General features: G+C 35.9%; 1 annotated feature.

Annotated features, from left to right (window-relative positions):
- Positions 4353–4891: an enhancer, noted in NCBI's record as "NANOG hESC enhancer chr4:73529485-73530023 (GRCh37/hg19 assembly coordinates)". NCBI's record gives its function as "activates a minimal SCP1, AML or CMV promoter by ChIP-STARR-seq in naive H9 embryonic stem cells {active_cell/tissue: H9 hESC(naive)}" and the evidence as "EXISTENCE:reporter gene assay evidence [ECO:0000049][PMID:30033119]".

A 16356-nucleotide genomic window follows, 5' to 3' on the forward strand; every position in this document is an offset into this window, starting at 1 on the left:
AGCAAGTCTGATAATCAGCCTCATGATGTAACAAACTAAATTTTGATAAGCTAAACAACATTAATATCATGTCTATGTCTCTTAAACCAGTATTTAGGTGGTGAGATGGGAAAGGTTGTCTATGGAGCATAGTTATGCATGAGTCTATAACCTTACATCCTTAACTGAAAGATTGCTCTTGCATAACCTTGTGAAAAGTTACTGGGCAATATTTAAGATACACACAGGTTTAAAGAATAATATTGCCAGCATAAAAAAAATTATTATAATAGAATACACTAGTTACCCCTTTCAGATTGAGTCACCATCCCTTTCCCTTAGATGTAACCAATATCCTGAACTGCATGTCTATTATTTCTATGTAATTCTTTATTTTATCACTATATGGGCATTAAACAACATGTAGCATCATTTTGTCTTTAGCCTTTTCTTCATTGAATGTCACGCTTTCAATCATATACCCTACTATCAGTCCCAAAAGTTAGATGTGTTAAAGTCACTTTTTACTTCCAATCGCTTAAACTATGCTTTAATGGCACCATTTTCTCCTTTCCTTCTCCACTAGCATTAGAATATTGAAGGCTCCATTTTCATAACAGGACTAAATGTCGCACTCTCACTTTCATGTAGTTCTTTAAAAATTCCAGGATGCTGACTGTGTGTGGTGGCTCACACCTGTAATCCCAGCACTTTGGGAGGCCAAGGCGGGCAGATCACCTGAGGTCAGGAGTTCGAGATCAGCCTGCCAAACATGGTGAAACCCTGTCTCTACTAAAAATACAAAAAATTAGCCGGGTGTGGTGGCGGGTGCCTATAATCCCAGCTACTCGGGAGGCTGAGGCAGGGGAATCACTTGAACCTGAGAGGCGGAGGTTGCAGTGAGCTGAGATGGCGCCACTGCACTCCAGCCTGGGTGACAAGAGCGAAACCCTGTCTCAAAAAATAAATAAATAAATAAAAATAAATAAAAAATTCCAGGATGCCTAGGATTATGTGAATTTAAGGTGTCCTATTATAGATAAGTAAAATGATGTTCAGAATTGAAACTCCAGCTCTGTTTATTACAACATTTGACAAGTCATTTGTCATCCTAGAACTCATTTTAGTAACAAAAAATGAAAAAAGTGTTAAAGAAAAAATTATTCAATGTTACTTATTGAAGCATAATAATGCAGATTTTACTCAGGACCACCAAAGCAGGTATAGGGATGATGGCATTGGGGTATTGCTATGGGAAAGGTAGATTTTTGCCCAACTCCAAATATAGCATGGGCAAGTGAATAGCCATTTATATTCAGGGAGCAGGGTGGATGGGAGTTGGTGGGTGGAAAATTCTTAAAGTAAGCATCAGGAGTAAGGAGGATTCTGGCTAAACTGACGTAAGAGGATTTCTTGCTAAGGACAGGCCAGGAAGATAACCTAAGGGTGGATGTGGGATGAGGATCCCAATCAGATATCAAAGGTGATCATATCTCTAAGATGGGGGTAAGGTTCTTGCTAAGCTTGCTAAACTATAAATTAGAAGGGTTCTTGTTGAAACTGGATATTACAAGGAAATGCACAGATGGGCCTACGAGAAGGTTCAGGAGCCTGACTAATGTTTGGTCAAGCAAAGGCTCTATATGAGAGGTGAACTACATATAAATTATCTCCAATGCCGTTTCTAACTTCAATATTTGTTTTTTTTACTCTGCTTATTCCCTCTGCATGGATGAACATCTCACCACTCTCATTATTAAATATTCTTTTAAAAACATTATTTTGCTGGCACTTTCTTGAATCATTTACTGGTCAGTAGAGGTAAGAATGTTTCTACACATACTTCCCAAAGTACTAAAATAAATGAAAAGCATTTTCCAAAAGCATTTGCTGGCCAATTCAGTTTGAGCAGTGTATCTTAGCCTGTTTAGTGTTCTGTGGGATCTATGGAGTAGTTACTAATATTGCTAATAATAATCTGAGTATGGCATAGAACAACCTTTGCTGTACAATTGAAGTCAGCAAGACAGGCTTAACTTGAACCCCATCTAAGGCAGTTACTAACTCATGTATCTCAAAGCTGCCAAGATTCCACCTGTAAGAAATCTTCCCAGAAAAGGACTCAAAAGATAGGCTTCTACAAAGACACAAGCCCACAAGTGCAGTGAGAAAATGATTTCTATTCTCACAGTTTTGGCACAGTTGGCTGTTACTCCTGAAAAAAAAAATCATGTTAAATGAAAACACTCCAGGTTTAATCTCTGCCCATTTTTTATTTAAAAGATGGAGGAAAATCAATTGAACAATCTTTAAATTCCAAGAAAATGAAATAGACTTTTCTCCAGTATATAAAAAAAGATAAATGAACATTTCTTTTCTTTCAATGAATGTAAAAAGACATGTTTATGGCTCTTTGCTTAGGAAAAACAGACACTTAGTTGATGTAAAGGTTAAATATGTGTTCTGGTTTTCAATCATGAAATACTATTTGCTGTATACAGCATACATTTATGGTCCTTGAAATTGGCATAGTTACTGCATTTAAAGACAGCAACATTTTACTTCTATGAATAGACCCTAAGACTGACTGACCTTCTGATATTTCATGCTAATGTATATTGAATAACTGTGACAGGCAACAAAAGGGGCATTACTCGTGGGTCATCATCCATCCATTCATTCAAATAACACTTCTTGAGTGCTAACTAGTAATTTCAGCTCAACAAACAATTATTGAATGCTGCCTATGTTCCTGCCAGGCACTGCTGAGGTGCTTGAAATAGCCATATGTAAAATATATACATATATAGGTAGGAGTCACATGTTAATAATATAATACTATATTATAGTATATAATTAGTATAATATAATACTATATTATAGTATATAATTAGTATAATATAATACTATATTATAGTATATAGCTAGGAGTTACATGTGATAGAAAAGCCTCAGGTTTCTCTTTTAAAACAGGAAAGGAAGGGGAATTGTGTGGGCATTTGTATTCAGAATCGTTAAAGAAGTAGACATTATACTTAGAGTTAACTAATGTATATTTGAGCCATTCGTATTTGCTCAATCTAGAAGTAAACAACACAAAATATAGAATTCTGTCCTAGTATCCAAGGGAACTAGAATTGAGTGGCGTATTTTCCTTTATCATTCAAATCTGAACGTCTTACTTGAATTAACGTATTTATGAAAGAATTGTGCCTCCTCTCTTGTCACCACTTTATCTCTAGCAGATATTTAACAATATCGAAATTCTTTTAAAAGATATTTTTCCTTCAGTGGTGACAGAGTAGTATTAGAAATTGCTGGCTGGCTCTGCCTTATAAGTTGAAGTTATTAAGATACTTAGCAATATATGTGAAAAAATGGCACACTGCTGAACCAGTCTTTGAATCTGAGCAAAGCACTCCTCAACAAGTGCAGTATTTTTTTCAAATTCATGAGACTTTTCATATTTAGTTTCCAAAGTCTCATTAGAATGTCTCCTTCTGGCAACCAAATTGCTTAACAATAAACAATTCATCAACCTCAAGAGGGTAAAAAAAGTTTGAAAGGTGTTCTGGTTTAACAAAAGTGTAATGATTTAGTTTATACAATGTATGAGGGAATTAAAAGTAGGTGAAAAGTTCATATTTGTGCTTTAGAAGGACTCGATGAATAATGGAATGGCATTTTCATTACATTATTCAAAATTTTTGTTGGAAAACATTATCTTTTCTTATTTACCCAACTACTGAGTATGGCTTTGTAAATGTATTTTTGCTGTCAAATTTAATCAGATAAACTTCTTTTTAACTCATTTCTTATATTCCTAAAACTTGGTCTTCCATAGTAAAGATTAGATTATATAAAGATCTATGGTCTTCCTAACATGTCCATTCAAATAATGCTATTATTCTCTGGAATATATTATTGGGAAAGAGTATACGATACTCTTTCCTAGGCCTCTTGAAGAGAATTTTTCTGCAATCATTTACAACAACTATAAAAACAAGCACGAGCCTGGATTTTCTGCCTCCCTGCCTCCCTCCCTACTTCCTTCCCTCTCTTCTTTCCTGCCTGCCTTTTTACTTTCCTGACTTTCTGTCTTCTTTCTTTTTCTTTCCTTTCTCTATTCTTTCTCTTATTTTTCTTCTTCAAACATTTATTGTTTACCTACAATTTGAAAGATATCATGCTAGATACAGGGAGTGAAAAGGTAAATAAATCATGATCTCATAATATCTGTTATGACAGATATTACAATAGACAAGTACAAAATAATCAGTGACATAATAGAAGTATAAATAAAGTAAACACTATTCAAGCACAAGGAATGTTAAAACAGATGTTCCTGAGGCCTGGAATTTAATTGTAACTTTCTGATTTTATTTGTCTGATTTCCACGAGGTTTCATTAACCCCAAACTTACTGGGAAATCTCATCAAGATTATTGGTCCCTAGGGTGAAATTAGAAATCAATAGGCGCAATGTTTCTAAAATTTCATTTTATAGATTTTTAGCAAACAAATCTCCCCATTCTCTTCCTCACATTACCGCCCACGTTCCCACACATTCAGTCTCAACCCAGAGGCCACTGTCTTTCTCCTTTTCTTCTTTTATTCTTTCTGAGCTGCACAGCAGGCATGCGGAGGAGGAAGACAGAAAACAGAAAACTTTTCAGTGTGGGCATCAAGCTGTCAGCCTGTTTCTGCCATAGCACTCTGATCCACTCCTCCCCTACTGATCCCCACCACAGCACCCCTTCTCCACCAAATGCCAAAAGCAGAAAGAAAACCCACAATACAAGATGGTCTCTTCAATTAAAAACAAAACTCTTTAATGCCCAGATAATTTACTGAGAACACAAAGGAAAATACTGCATGGCAACTGCCTGGAAGGACCTAACAAACTAGTCCTAGTGAAAGAAACAGGCACATGAAGATGATAACTGATGTGCACTGAGTACGTTGTCTAGATCAGGCCTGTTCCATGCACTTACATATAATTTGTTTAATCCTTACCTCGACCTGCAAGGTAAATACACGATTACTCCCCCATTTCAGTTAAGAAAACTGACGCACAGAACAATTATAGGTGCCAGAGCTAGAAAACCATCACAAGTAGCAGTCTGCTTCCAGATTCCATATTCCTGAGCCTTAGGCAGACTACAGGCCATTATAACGTAATGTGGTAAATAATATTATTTATTATTAATATTATTGACATGTGCTCAGGGTCAAAAAGTAGAAAATACCTTGTAAGTGATACTTCAGAAATTAGTCCTTCCCTCCAGTCCAGAGAACGGAATTGGAGAAGTCCTATCATGCCTGCCTTCCTTACACCAAGTGACTACATCCCTCCTTTTAGTTAGGAACTACTCTTTTTATCTTAGCAATTTAGTAACAGGTATGCCCTTGCACACCCATCAGCATGATATCCTTTTATATATCGGTAGCCCTAAAACATTTGGAATTTTATTGCCACTTGGTGAAGCTATTTGCCCACATAGCCTTAAGTCTTAGATAACTATTGCAACTCCTAAATTTCTCACCTCTAACCAATATTCACTCCACCACAGCAGCGTCCTATAGTACTGGCAGAGTGTGACATACACCCCTAGCATCTGTTTGTATTTTCAGCTTTTTAGAATTTTTTCAGAAGAAAAAATTTTATAGTAATTGTTATAAGTATCTGCAAGATGCCAGAGAATGTTTCAAAGAAAGTACTTCCCCTTTTGTAGACATACAAAAAGAGGAGGATTATAAGGATCATTACTATGCCAGGTATAATGTGGTTCCAAAAATGAAGCCAAAATCTGGTAATTTTTGAGGAAAAAAAGATAATGTGAAAATAGTTGTAAATGCCAGTTTTTGTAGCTCTCCAGCTCTCTGCAGTGACTGGATTTGGGCCATATGGAAACCCTTTCTGCTGTTAAATCAACAGAGAAATGAAGGAGAGAAAAACTTGATAAAGCTGTTCCCAGCCTGGCAAATTAGGAGTTAAACTTTGGAACTGACACTTCAGCATTTGGTAATCCCCTCACCCCATACTTGGCTGTAAAATCTGTGAAGTAGCCTCCTTCCGGAAGTCAGGTTTTCTAGTAATGCCCTAATTGGTTAAGTATGTATTATGGTGTATTTAATAACTGAGCCCCTTGATTTTCAGAACAAATGGCACCCACATGCTTGCTATTAACCTTTTGAATTGCAAATATATGCCAGGTTGCCATAAGCCACATGGTGTTCAAATGATTCCCCCCATATTTGAGATGCTATTCACTCTGTAACAAAATGACAAGACAGAATTGTATCAGGAAAAGAACACCCACATGTACACTCTAAATTGTGCAAACATTTTGAAATTCAGTGGTAATTTAGGAAGTCGGTCTCCAGTAGACTTCCCTATCCTTATATAGGCAAAGCCAGCTATTGTGTTCCAAAGCAAAACTGATGCCTGTGGCAATCATTCTTGTAACCAATCACAAGTCAACTGCTGGTAAAATGAGAGTAAATTAGTTACCGGTGTCAGAGGAAGCTTTAGAATTCACAAAGAATTTAGAAATAGCTAACATGTTATAATCATGTGGAAATGGTGCATATTATTAAAATTGCCAAGACAGGAAAACTTACCTGGCCGTGCTTTATGGTGCACAAAATCTCCTAGTGTGGCTATTAGAACATTCAGGGTGAAGTCAGAGTTCTATCCCAACTTCAGAAAAATCATCAAAAGTTTACTGGGAAGACAAAAATACTCCCGAGGGTCAGAAGCAAACCCAAATGACTTATTCACCTACTAAAATTAATTAACTTTGAATATTATGAAATAAAATAAATGCATTAAGAACAATAGAAATGCTTTTAACCAATGCAAATGGGTCTGGTAGTCAACTAATTCATCATAAAAGTTAGTTCAATTAGGGAGCAATGAAAAAACTAAAGGTATCATAAACATTTTATTTTATGTTAACATAAAGTAAATAAATATGCATGCAAGTGCCAATCTTTTTATGTAGGATGAAAGCCATTCCCTTGAGAATGTATCACTGATGGGAATTTCACCTGGTCTTTCTTGCCTAAACCACACTCCTAATACTGACTAAGATTTCCAGTTTCAGTTTCTTTTAAAGGTGAAGGAATTTAAATACTCTGGTGAAGCAAAAAATGTGTTAAATCCTTTTAGATTTCCATGGTTTTACAATCTTTCCTAAATATCTTGCCTACACCTAATTTGACATCATTTTTTCAGCTGTTCCTCTTTATTGGGTCATTCTAAAGCATTTAATTTAATTTTCATACAAACATCTCTCTCTGTTTCCCGTTAATACTTCATTGATTTGCATGAATAATTAATTAAATTATACAATTAAAATAATAAATATAACCGGCATGAAATGTTTAGGAACAAACAAAACTTTAACTCAATAAGTGGAGGTGTAGTACATACATTTCTAAGAGAGTAGACTACAAGTCACAAGCCCTCAGGAGGCGACAGAACTCAGTCATATTTTACTAAGGAAATGCAGAATGTTAATTATTTCATTAAATTCATTAAATGAAAATCAATCAAACTGATAGAGACAGCCAAGGGTCCCCCGCAAAACCCTGCCTTCAAGCCTAAAACCCAACCGCTGGTCCTGGATGAAGCCGGCCCTTTCCTCACTGATTCTCTGAATAATGCCCACCTGCGCACTGAAAGGATCTGGTGGAGCCTCAGGAAGTCACCCTATTTGCATGGGGGAGGAGCCTGGACTCCAGATCCTGTGTGGTGGCCTGGGATTCAATCTGTAAAGTGGGGGCCTGCTAGGAGGACTCTCTCTCTGTTTGCTGAGAGTTTCTATTTCCTTTTTTCCTTTTCACCCGATAAACGCTGTCCTACTCACCTTACAATGTGTCCGCGTGCCTAAGTTTTCATAGGTCGTGTGACAAGAACCCGTTTTTTTCTACAACAAAATGAAACAATATTTAGTAGGTAAAATAATTGTGGGCATGAATGTGTTATAAGAATGTGCTCATATATCACAATATATTTTAAGGGAATTTGTGTAAACCTTTCAGTTAGCTTTTCTACATAATATACATAGTTCATATCTTAATGGGAGTTTCAGAAACTGTCATAAGTATACTCTCTGTCCTGTAACTTCCACCGCTTCTCAGCTACTTCGGTTGAGGATAATTTTGTTTGTGAATAAAGAAAAAACATTCAACTAACAGGGGCAAAATCAGAAAGGTATGTATTGTGTAACTGATAGGACTGAGAGCAGGCATCTCCAGAGTTGGTTCAGCAATTTCATAATGTGAAGGCGCAGGACTGGCAGTGCTGAGATTCTGTCAAGGTTTTCAAATGCTGCTGCAGCACCAGGTATTTGAGTTGGGATCTTTTTCATTTATTGTCAGTAGGTATATGCTGTGTTCTTTTATTTTTAACATTTTAATCTGATTTCTATTTCCACAAGTTTTTAACTCCCCCCCCACTTTCTTCTGTAGAAGGATTATCTTCTCTATTGTTTACCAGACAGGAAATACTAAATACTATACTTTTATTCTCCCAGTGTTTACTTTAAAAGTAAACAGAATTAATATTCATTGTCAGATTTAATATTTTCTAACATCAAGAGTGTATCTAAGTTCCCCCAAAACATATTAATAACTTAAAAATCTTTTACTTTCCTCATTCGTTTATTTTTTTCACAATGAATACTGAAGATGGATAAATAATAATTTCATGTTTACTTCTCTCGCTGAGTCTCACATTCCATTACTTTCCCATAGAATCATTAAGCTTTTTTCTGAAGTAAGCTTTCTAGTCTTTTAACAGTTAACATTTATTTTATACCAAAATGTACCATTTCTATTTCCCCAAAATCTAAATACACAGGACCTAACATAATGCCTGCCACACAGAGAGTGGTCATTCTGTTATTTTCCAAATGTGAGAATGAATAAATGAATGAATGCCAGGCTCTGTTCTAAATGTGTTATATGCATATGTCTAGTTACAAAAGCCCTGCAAGGAAAGCACTCCATTTATGACGAAGGAAACTGAGCTTCAGAGAGCTTAATAAAACTTGCCCAAGGTCACATCACTATTAAGTTTTAGGATTCGGGTTCAATCCTGTGCCTATTCAATATCAAATTGCAGATTCTGTTATTTTCTTGGGTCTTGAACTGAGGAAACAAAGGATCTCAATGGAAGAAGGAAAATTGAGAAGATTCATGAAGTTAATATACATATGGGTAAATATATACTACAAGAGATCTTTGTCTGTCTCTTTCTTCACTTGTATCATTCCCTTGTTTTCCTTTCTTTACTTTTTTCTCTCCACTTAGGCTACCATTACCATAGAAATGATAGGGCTAGACTTCAACTAATAGAATTAATGTATTGATGGTGGAAAAGATTGAATGTAAAGAAAAGAACTGGAATCAAAAGGAAAACAAGAAACAGAGAGGCAGAGAATATAAATAGATGGATTCGTAAACATTAGAAGAAGCATCTTGGATTCAATTATTGCTTTGTAGAAGATTTTCTAACAAATATAAAAGTATCTCTAGAAGATTTTTTTAAAGTGTTTTACATTCAGTATTTTTCTTTTCACAATTTCTCCTAAGATTGAAAAATGATTAGATGGATGCATGAAAATAACCTTAGTTAAAGTTAATCTTATTTTCAGATTTTAAGCTTGTTAGAGATATAGTCCTTAACTGACAATCCTGCTATGATTTACTGTGCAAAGATTTAAACTTTAAAAATTCTAGAAATATTTATTTTATACTAACTTAAGTTTGAAACACTTGGGGAAAAAATTTCATTTTATAATGGAGAGTCGTATTTCAAGTGGCTGCACTGCTTAAATTGCAGTAGGAATAAAAATAGGGCAAAAAAAAATAGCCAGAAATGCAAATATAACACAATTTTTTGAGATAATATTGTTAAGTCATGAAAACAAATGAAAAAAAACCACAAAGGCTTAAAATTTTTTGTCTGAACACTTACCAATATAACCTGTTTCAGTTATTTTTGAAAGAGTCAATGTAGTGTTCTCTGAGATAAAATGTGATTGTTTGCCAAAAAACTTATGACCCTGATTTGTCTCAACATATGAATTAAAATAAATGATCTATGCTTTCAACTTTAGGGCTAGAAAAAAAAAAAACTCTTGTAAAACAGAAGAAAGTAATTCATACGTGTAAAAAAATTTATTTGAGTTAATTGAAAAGAAAAGGCAATAAAATTAAGTAATAATTATCCCAGTGTATGCTCAGGGTTATATGAAATCTATGCAGTCGTTGGTTCTTTTCTGTACCTGATGGCAAGTTTGAGAGATTGTATCTCTGTCCTGATACTTTACCTATTTACTTGCTTGGGTAAGATTTCAGTTAACTTCTCCTATCCATATTTTTCAAAAACAGAGGTAACAATATCAATTATCCTCCATTTAAATAACAGCTTTGACTCTTTTAACTAAAAGGCCATTTGTTAAATAAGAATGACTTAGGTACCTGTGATTTGCTATGTACCAGTAAGGACCTCAGTTCTTAGGAATCTTTCTTAAAGTATATCCCCATTGGGGATTGCATCTCGTTGTGTTAACAGAAAGCTGACTACACTGGTTTAATGAAATACGGTCTTAACTAGAATTCCTTAGAAACAGGTTCCGAGATGAAAAATTTTGTTTGAAAAATTAACTGGGAAGTCCTCTCAAGAGAAAGTGAAGAAGGCAGGATCGGACAGAGGAGAAGCAGACTCTTAACGTTTTTGCAACCAAGGCTCAGCCGGTCAGTTCCACAGTGAGTTCTGGAGCTGAAATGACCTTTTAGCATTGTCCCCATTTGAGGCAAAGAGCTTGGACTTTTGTGTCTGTACATCAGTCATTGACTACAGGTCACCCCCATTCTGGGGACTTAACCTTGGACCCAGCAATTCCCTACAGCTGAAAGTTCTTCCCAGTGAGGGACATGTCTCTGAATAGTCAGTAGTCTATACTTCTCAGCCAATGAGGATAGATATGTCGCCCCTGAAGAGGGGGTCTGGGCTGAATGCCACAGTTGGCACTACAAGAGCATTCTTTCCTTGCTTAGATCTACTTGTTCTTACAGCAAGTTTATCTCACTTGGGGACAGCTTCTCCAGGTTTGCTCTTATTTCCTGGGGAAATATAAAAAGGGAGTTAGCAGGTATAGGAGCTGCACCTCAAGACTGTAATTGACCTCCAGCCTGTACCTAGTGTTTATCATCCCCCTCCTCCACTCACTTTAGATGCCCTCACCTGCAGCTGACACCTCTGCTGGTGGAGTGACCCACACCCTTATCCCTGAGGTGTCGCAACGCCACATTACTTTGCCCTTTCTCAGGTTGTGGCTGCTGTTCATGACTATTCACTGTTAAAACTGGGCGGAAGAGCACCAAAAGACACCTCTGTGTTTCTGAGTATCAAACGTTCTCTCCTACCCCCAGCCCCCATTCATGCTTAGCCAGGACTAGATCATATAGCTAACCTAAGGTGTGAGGACTCACTTTCTGATGTTTGAGAAACACAGAGGAAAAAGTTATATAAGAAATGAAATTAGTTGGCTGTCACTGAATACCATTAAGTCGTTAAAAAGATAATGAGAGGTTCAGGGAGATAAAATTCAAGGTAAAATGCAGAAGTCAGAGGGTATTCTGGAAGCATTTAAAGAAGTTCATAATCTCTTGAAGATGAGGGGCAGATAGAGTAAAGAAGCTGACTCAGGACTTAATTGTAAGAGTAGCAGAGATTCAGATTCTCAACCCTACCAGGCCCACCAAGTCAAGGTCAGAACCATAATCAGGAAGGATCAGGACACTGAGACTTGGGATGGGGATATCTGGATAGATGCCTTGAGAACCTTAACCTCCCAATTTCCATGACCATGCTAGGCCTGCAGAAACAACTAACTCCATCTTGTATGAAGATACTAGGCCCATTGCTTAATATTGTGCATAGGTCTTAAATAAGATAGGAGCCTTACATGAAACTGTGTGTCCCCTCAAGATCTATGCATACATCCTCTCCTGGCAACTGAACCAGTAACAAGAATGAAATCCCTAGTCCAATTTAAGATAAGGAAATAGAGTTTACATAGAAGTTGATGTTTTATCTGGCTGACATATCTTGTCATATATTAGAAAGAAAATACGCAATTACCTGAATCTTGAGGGTTCTAGATTAAGGGAGTGAAACCTTAATTTGGATAAAAGAACGTCAATTGATATGAAATAACTTTGTCAGCCGGGCGTGGTGGCTCACGCCTGTAATCCCAGCACTTTGGGAGGCTGAGGCGGGTGGATCACTAGGTCAGGAAGTTGAGACCATCCTGGCTAACACAGTGAAACCCCGTCTCTACTAAAAATACAAAAAATTAGCTGGGCGCGGTGGCGGGCGCCTGTAGTCCCAGCTACTCGGGAGGCTGAGGCAGGAGAATGGCATAAACCCAGAAGGCGGAGCTTGCAGTGAGCCGAGATAGCGCCACTGCACTCCAGCCTGGGCGACAGAGTGAGACTCCGTCTCAAAAAATAAAGAAAAGAACTCTGTCATAATATAGAATTCTTAAATATATTTTTCATTTTAATAAGTTTTGGGGTACAAGTGGTTTTTGGTTATACGGATGAGTTAAATATTGGTGAATTCTGAGATTTTAGTGCACCTGTCACCCAAGCGGTATATGTTGTACCAATATGTATTTTTGTATCGCACACTCCCCTCCTTCCCTCCCACTTCTGAGTCTCCAAATATCATTGTAACACTCTGTATGCCTCTGCATACTCATAGCTTAGCTCCCACATGTAAGTGAGAACATATGGTATTTGATTTTCCATTTCTGAATTACTTCACTTAGAATAATGGTCTTCAGCTCCAACCAAGTTGCTGCAAAGGACATGGACATTTAAGTTGGTTCCATATCTTTGCAATTGTGAATTGGACCACAATAAACATACATGTGCTTGTGTCTTTTTCATCTATGACTTATTCTCCTTTGGGTAGATACACAGTAGTTGGGTTGCTGAATTGAATGGTAGATCTACTTTTAGCTCCTTAAAAAATGTCCATACTGTTTTCCACAGATGCTGTACTAATTTGCATTCTCACCAACAATGTATAAGCATTCCCTTTTCCTCACATCCGTGCCAACATCTGTTGTTTCTTGACTTTTTAATAATGGCCATTCTTTCAGGAGTAAGGTCGTATTTCATTGTGGTTTTAATTTGCATTTCCCTGATGATTATTGATGTTGAGCATTTTTAAATATGTTTGCTGGCCATTTGTATACTTTCTTTTGAAAAATGTCTATGTATATCATTAGCCCACTTTTTGATGGGATTATTTAATTTTTTTCTTGCTGATTTATTTGAGTTCCTTGTAGATTCTGGATACTGGTCCTTTGTCAGACGCATATATTGCAAATATTTTTTCCGTTCTGTGTGTTGTCCATATACTCTGATGATTATTTCTTTTGCTTTGCAGAAGCTTTTAAATTTAATCAGGTCCCATTTATTTTTGTTTTCACTGCTTTTGTTTTTGAGGTTTTAGTCATGAATTCTTTATCTAGGACAATGTCCAGAAGACTTTTTCCAAGGTTATCCTCTAGAATTTTTATGGTTTCAGGTGTTAGATTTAAGTCTTTGATTCATCTCGAGTTGATTTTTGTATATGGTGTGAGATAGGACCCAGTTTCATTTTTTCTACAGTTTTCCCAGAACTTCAGGGCATCATTACCTCAATTTATGTTTTTGTATGCTTTATCAAAGATCAATTGATTGTAAGTATTTGGCTTTATTTTTGGGTTCTCTATTCTATTCCATTGGTCTATGCACCTACTTTTATACCAGTACCATGCTGTTTTGGTTAACTGTAGCCCTGTAGTCCAACTTGAAGTTTGGTAATGTGATGCCTCTAGATTTGTTCTTTTTGTTTAGGATTTCTTTGGCTATTTGGGCTATTTTTTGATTTCATATGAATTTTAGGACTGTTTTTTGCTAATTCTATGAAAAATGTTGTTGGTATTTTGATAGGAGTTACATTAAATCTATAGATTGCTTTGGGCAGTATATTCATTTTCACAATATTGATTCTCCAATCCATGAGCATGGGATGTGTTTCCATTTGTTTGTGTCACCTGTGATTTCTCTCAGCAGTTTTGTAGTTCTCCTTTTAGAGATCTTTCACTTCCTTGGTTAAGTATATACATAGGTATTTTATTTGTCTTGTTCCGATTTTCAAAGGGAATGCTTTCAACTTTTCCCAATTCAGTATGAGGTTGGCTGTGAGTCTGTCATATATGGCTTGTATTAATTTGAGGTAATTCCCTTCTATGACTAGTTTGTTGGAGGTTTTTATCATAAAGGGATGCTGGATTTTATTGAATGCTTTTTCTACATCTATTGAGATGATCATATGATTTTTGTTTTTAATTCTGTTTACGTGATATATCACATTTATTGACCTGTGTATGTTAAATCATCCCTGGGATGATCATGGTGTATTATCTTTTTGATGTTGTATTAGTCAGGGTTTTCTGGAGGGACAGAACTATTCCACCAGTCCAGCTGCTTCAGGATGATGGGGAACAGATGTGCTGTTGGGTTTGGTTAGCTAGTATTTTGTTGAGGGTTTTTACATCTCTGTTCATGACGGATATTGGTCTTTGTTTTCTTTTTTAGTTATGTCCTTTCCTGGTTTTGGTATCAGGGTGATATGGCTTAATAGAGTGAATTAGGGAGGAGTCCCTATGTCTCAATCTTTTGGAATAGTTTCAGTAGGATTGACACCAATTCTTTAAATGTCTGGTAGAATTCAGCTGTGAATCTGTCTGGCCCTGGGCTTTTGTTAGCATTTTAAAAATTACTAATTCAATCTCACTGCTTGTTATTGGTCTGTGCAGGTTTTCTATTTCTTACTGATTTAATCTAGGGAGATTGTATGTTTCCAGGAATTTGTTCATTTTCTCTAGGTTTTCTAGTTTGTATGCATAGAAGTGTTCATAGTAGTCTTAAATGATCTTTTGTATTTCTGTGATGTTGGTTGTAGTGTCTCTAGTTTCATTTGTAGTTGAGCTTATTTGAGTTGTCTGTCTTCTTGGTTAATCTAACTAATGGTCTGTCAATTTTGCTTATTTTTTCAAAGAACCAGCTTTTTGTTTCATTGATCTTTTGTATTTTTTTAATTTCAATTTCATTTAGTTCTGCTCTGATCTTTGTTATTTCTTTTCTTCTGCTAGCTTGGGATTAGTTGGTTCTTATTTCCCTGGTTCCTTGAGGTATGGCTTTAGGTTGCCAATTTGTAATCTTTCAGACTTTTTGAAGTAGGCATTTAGTACTATAAACTTTCCACTTAGCATTGCTTTTGCTTTATCCCAGAGGTTTTGCTAGCTTTTGTCTGTATTATCAATAATTTCAAAGAATTTTTAAATTTTCATCTTGATTTCATTGTAAACTCAAATATCATTCAAGAGCAGGCTGTTTAATTTCCATGTATTTGTATAGTTTAGGGGATTGTTTTTGTAGTTGATTTCTAGTTTTATTCTACTGTGGTCTGAGAAGATACTTGATATGATTTCAATTTTTAAAAATGTATTGAGACTTGTTTTGTGACCTATTACATGGTCTATCTTGGAGGATGTTCCATGTGCTGATGAAAAGCTTGTATAATCTGCAGTTCTTGGGTAAAATTTTCTGTAAATATCTGTTAGGTTCATTTGTTCTAGGGTCTAGTTTAAGTCCAGTGTTTCTTCATTGACATTCTGTCTCAATAGTCTACTGCTGTCAGTGGAATATTGAAGTTCCCTATTATTATTGTGTTGCTGTCTATCTCATTTCTTAGGTCTAGTAGTAATTGCTTTCTGAATCTGGTAGCTCCAGTGTTAGATGTATATACATTTAAGTTTGTAATATCTTCTTGTTGTATTGATTCTTTTATCATTATATAATGGCTTTGTCTTTTTTTTAACTGTTATTGTTTTAAAGTCTGTTTTATCTGATATGAAAACATCTACTCCTACTCATTTTTCCTTTCCATTTGCATGGAATATCTTTTTCTACTCCTTTACTTTGAGCTGATATGAATTCTTGTGAGTTAGGTGAGTCTCTTAAAGTCAGCAGATATTTGGTTTGTGATTTTTTTATCCATTCTGCCAATATGTATCTTTTAAGTAGAGCATTTACACCATTTTCATTCAATGGTAATATTGAGATGTGAGGTACTGTTCCATTAACATTCCATCATGTTCATTGTTCCCTAGATACTTTGTTTCTTCATTGTGTTATTGTTTTATAGGTCCTGTGAGTTTTAACCTTTTAAGAGATTCTATTCCAGTGTATGTCAAGCTTTGGTCTCAAGATTTAGAACTCCTTTCAGCATTTCTTTTAA

This window comes from Homo sapiens, chromosome 4, assembly GCF_000001405.40.
Source record: "Homo sapiens chromosome 4, GRCh38.p14 Primary Assembly".
Taxonomy (NCBI): domain Eukaryota; kingdom Metazoa; phylum Chordata; class Mammalia; order Primates; family Hominidae; genus Homo; species Homo sapiens.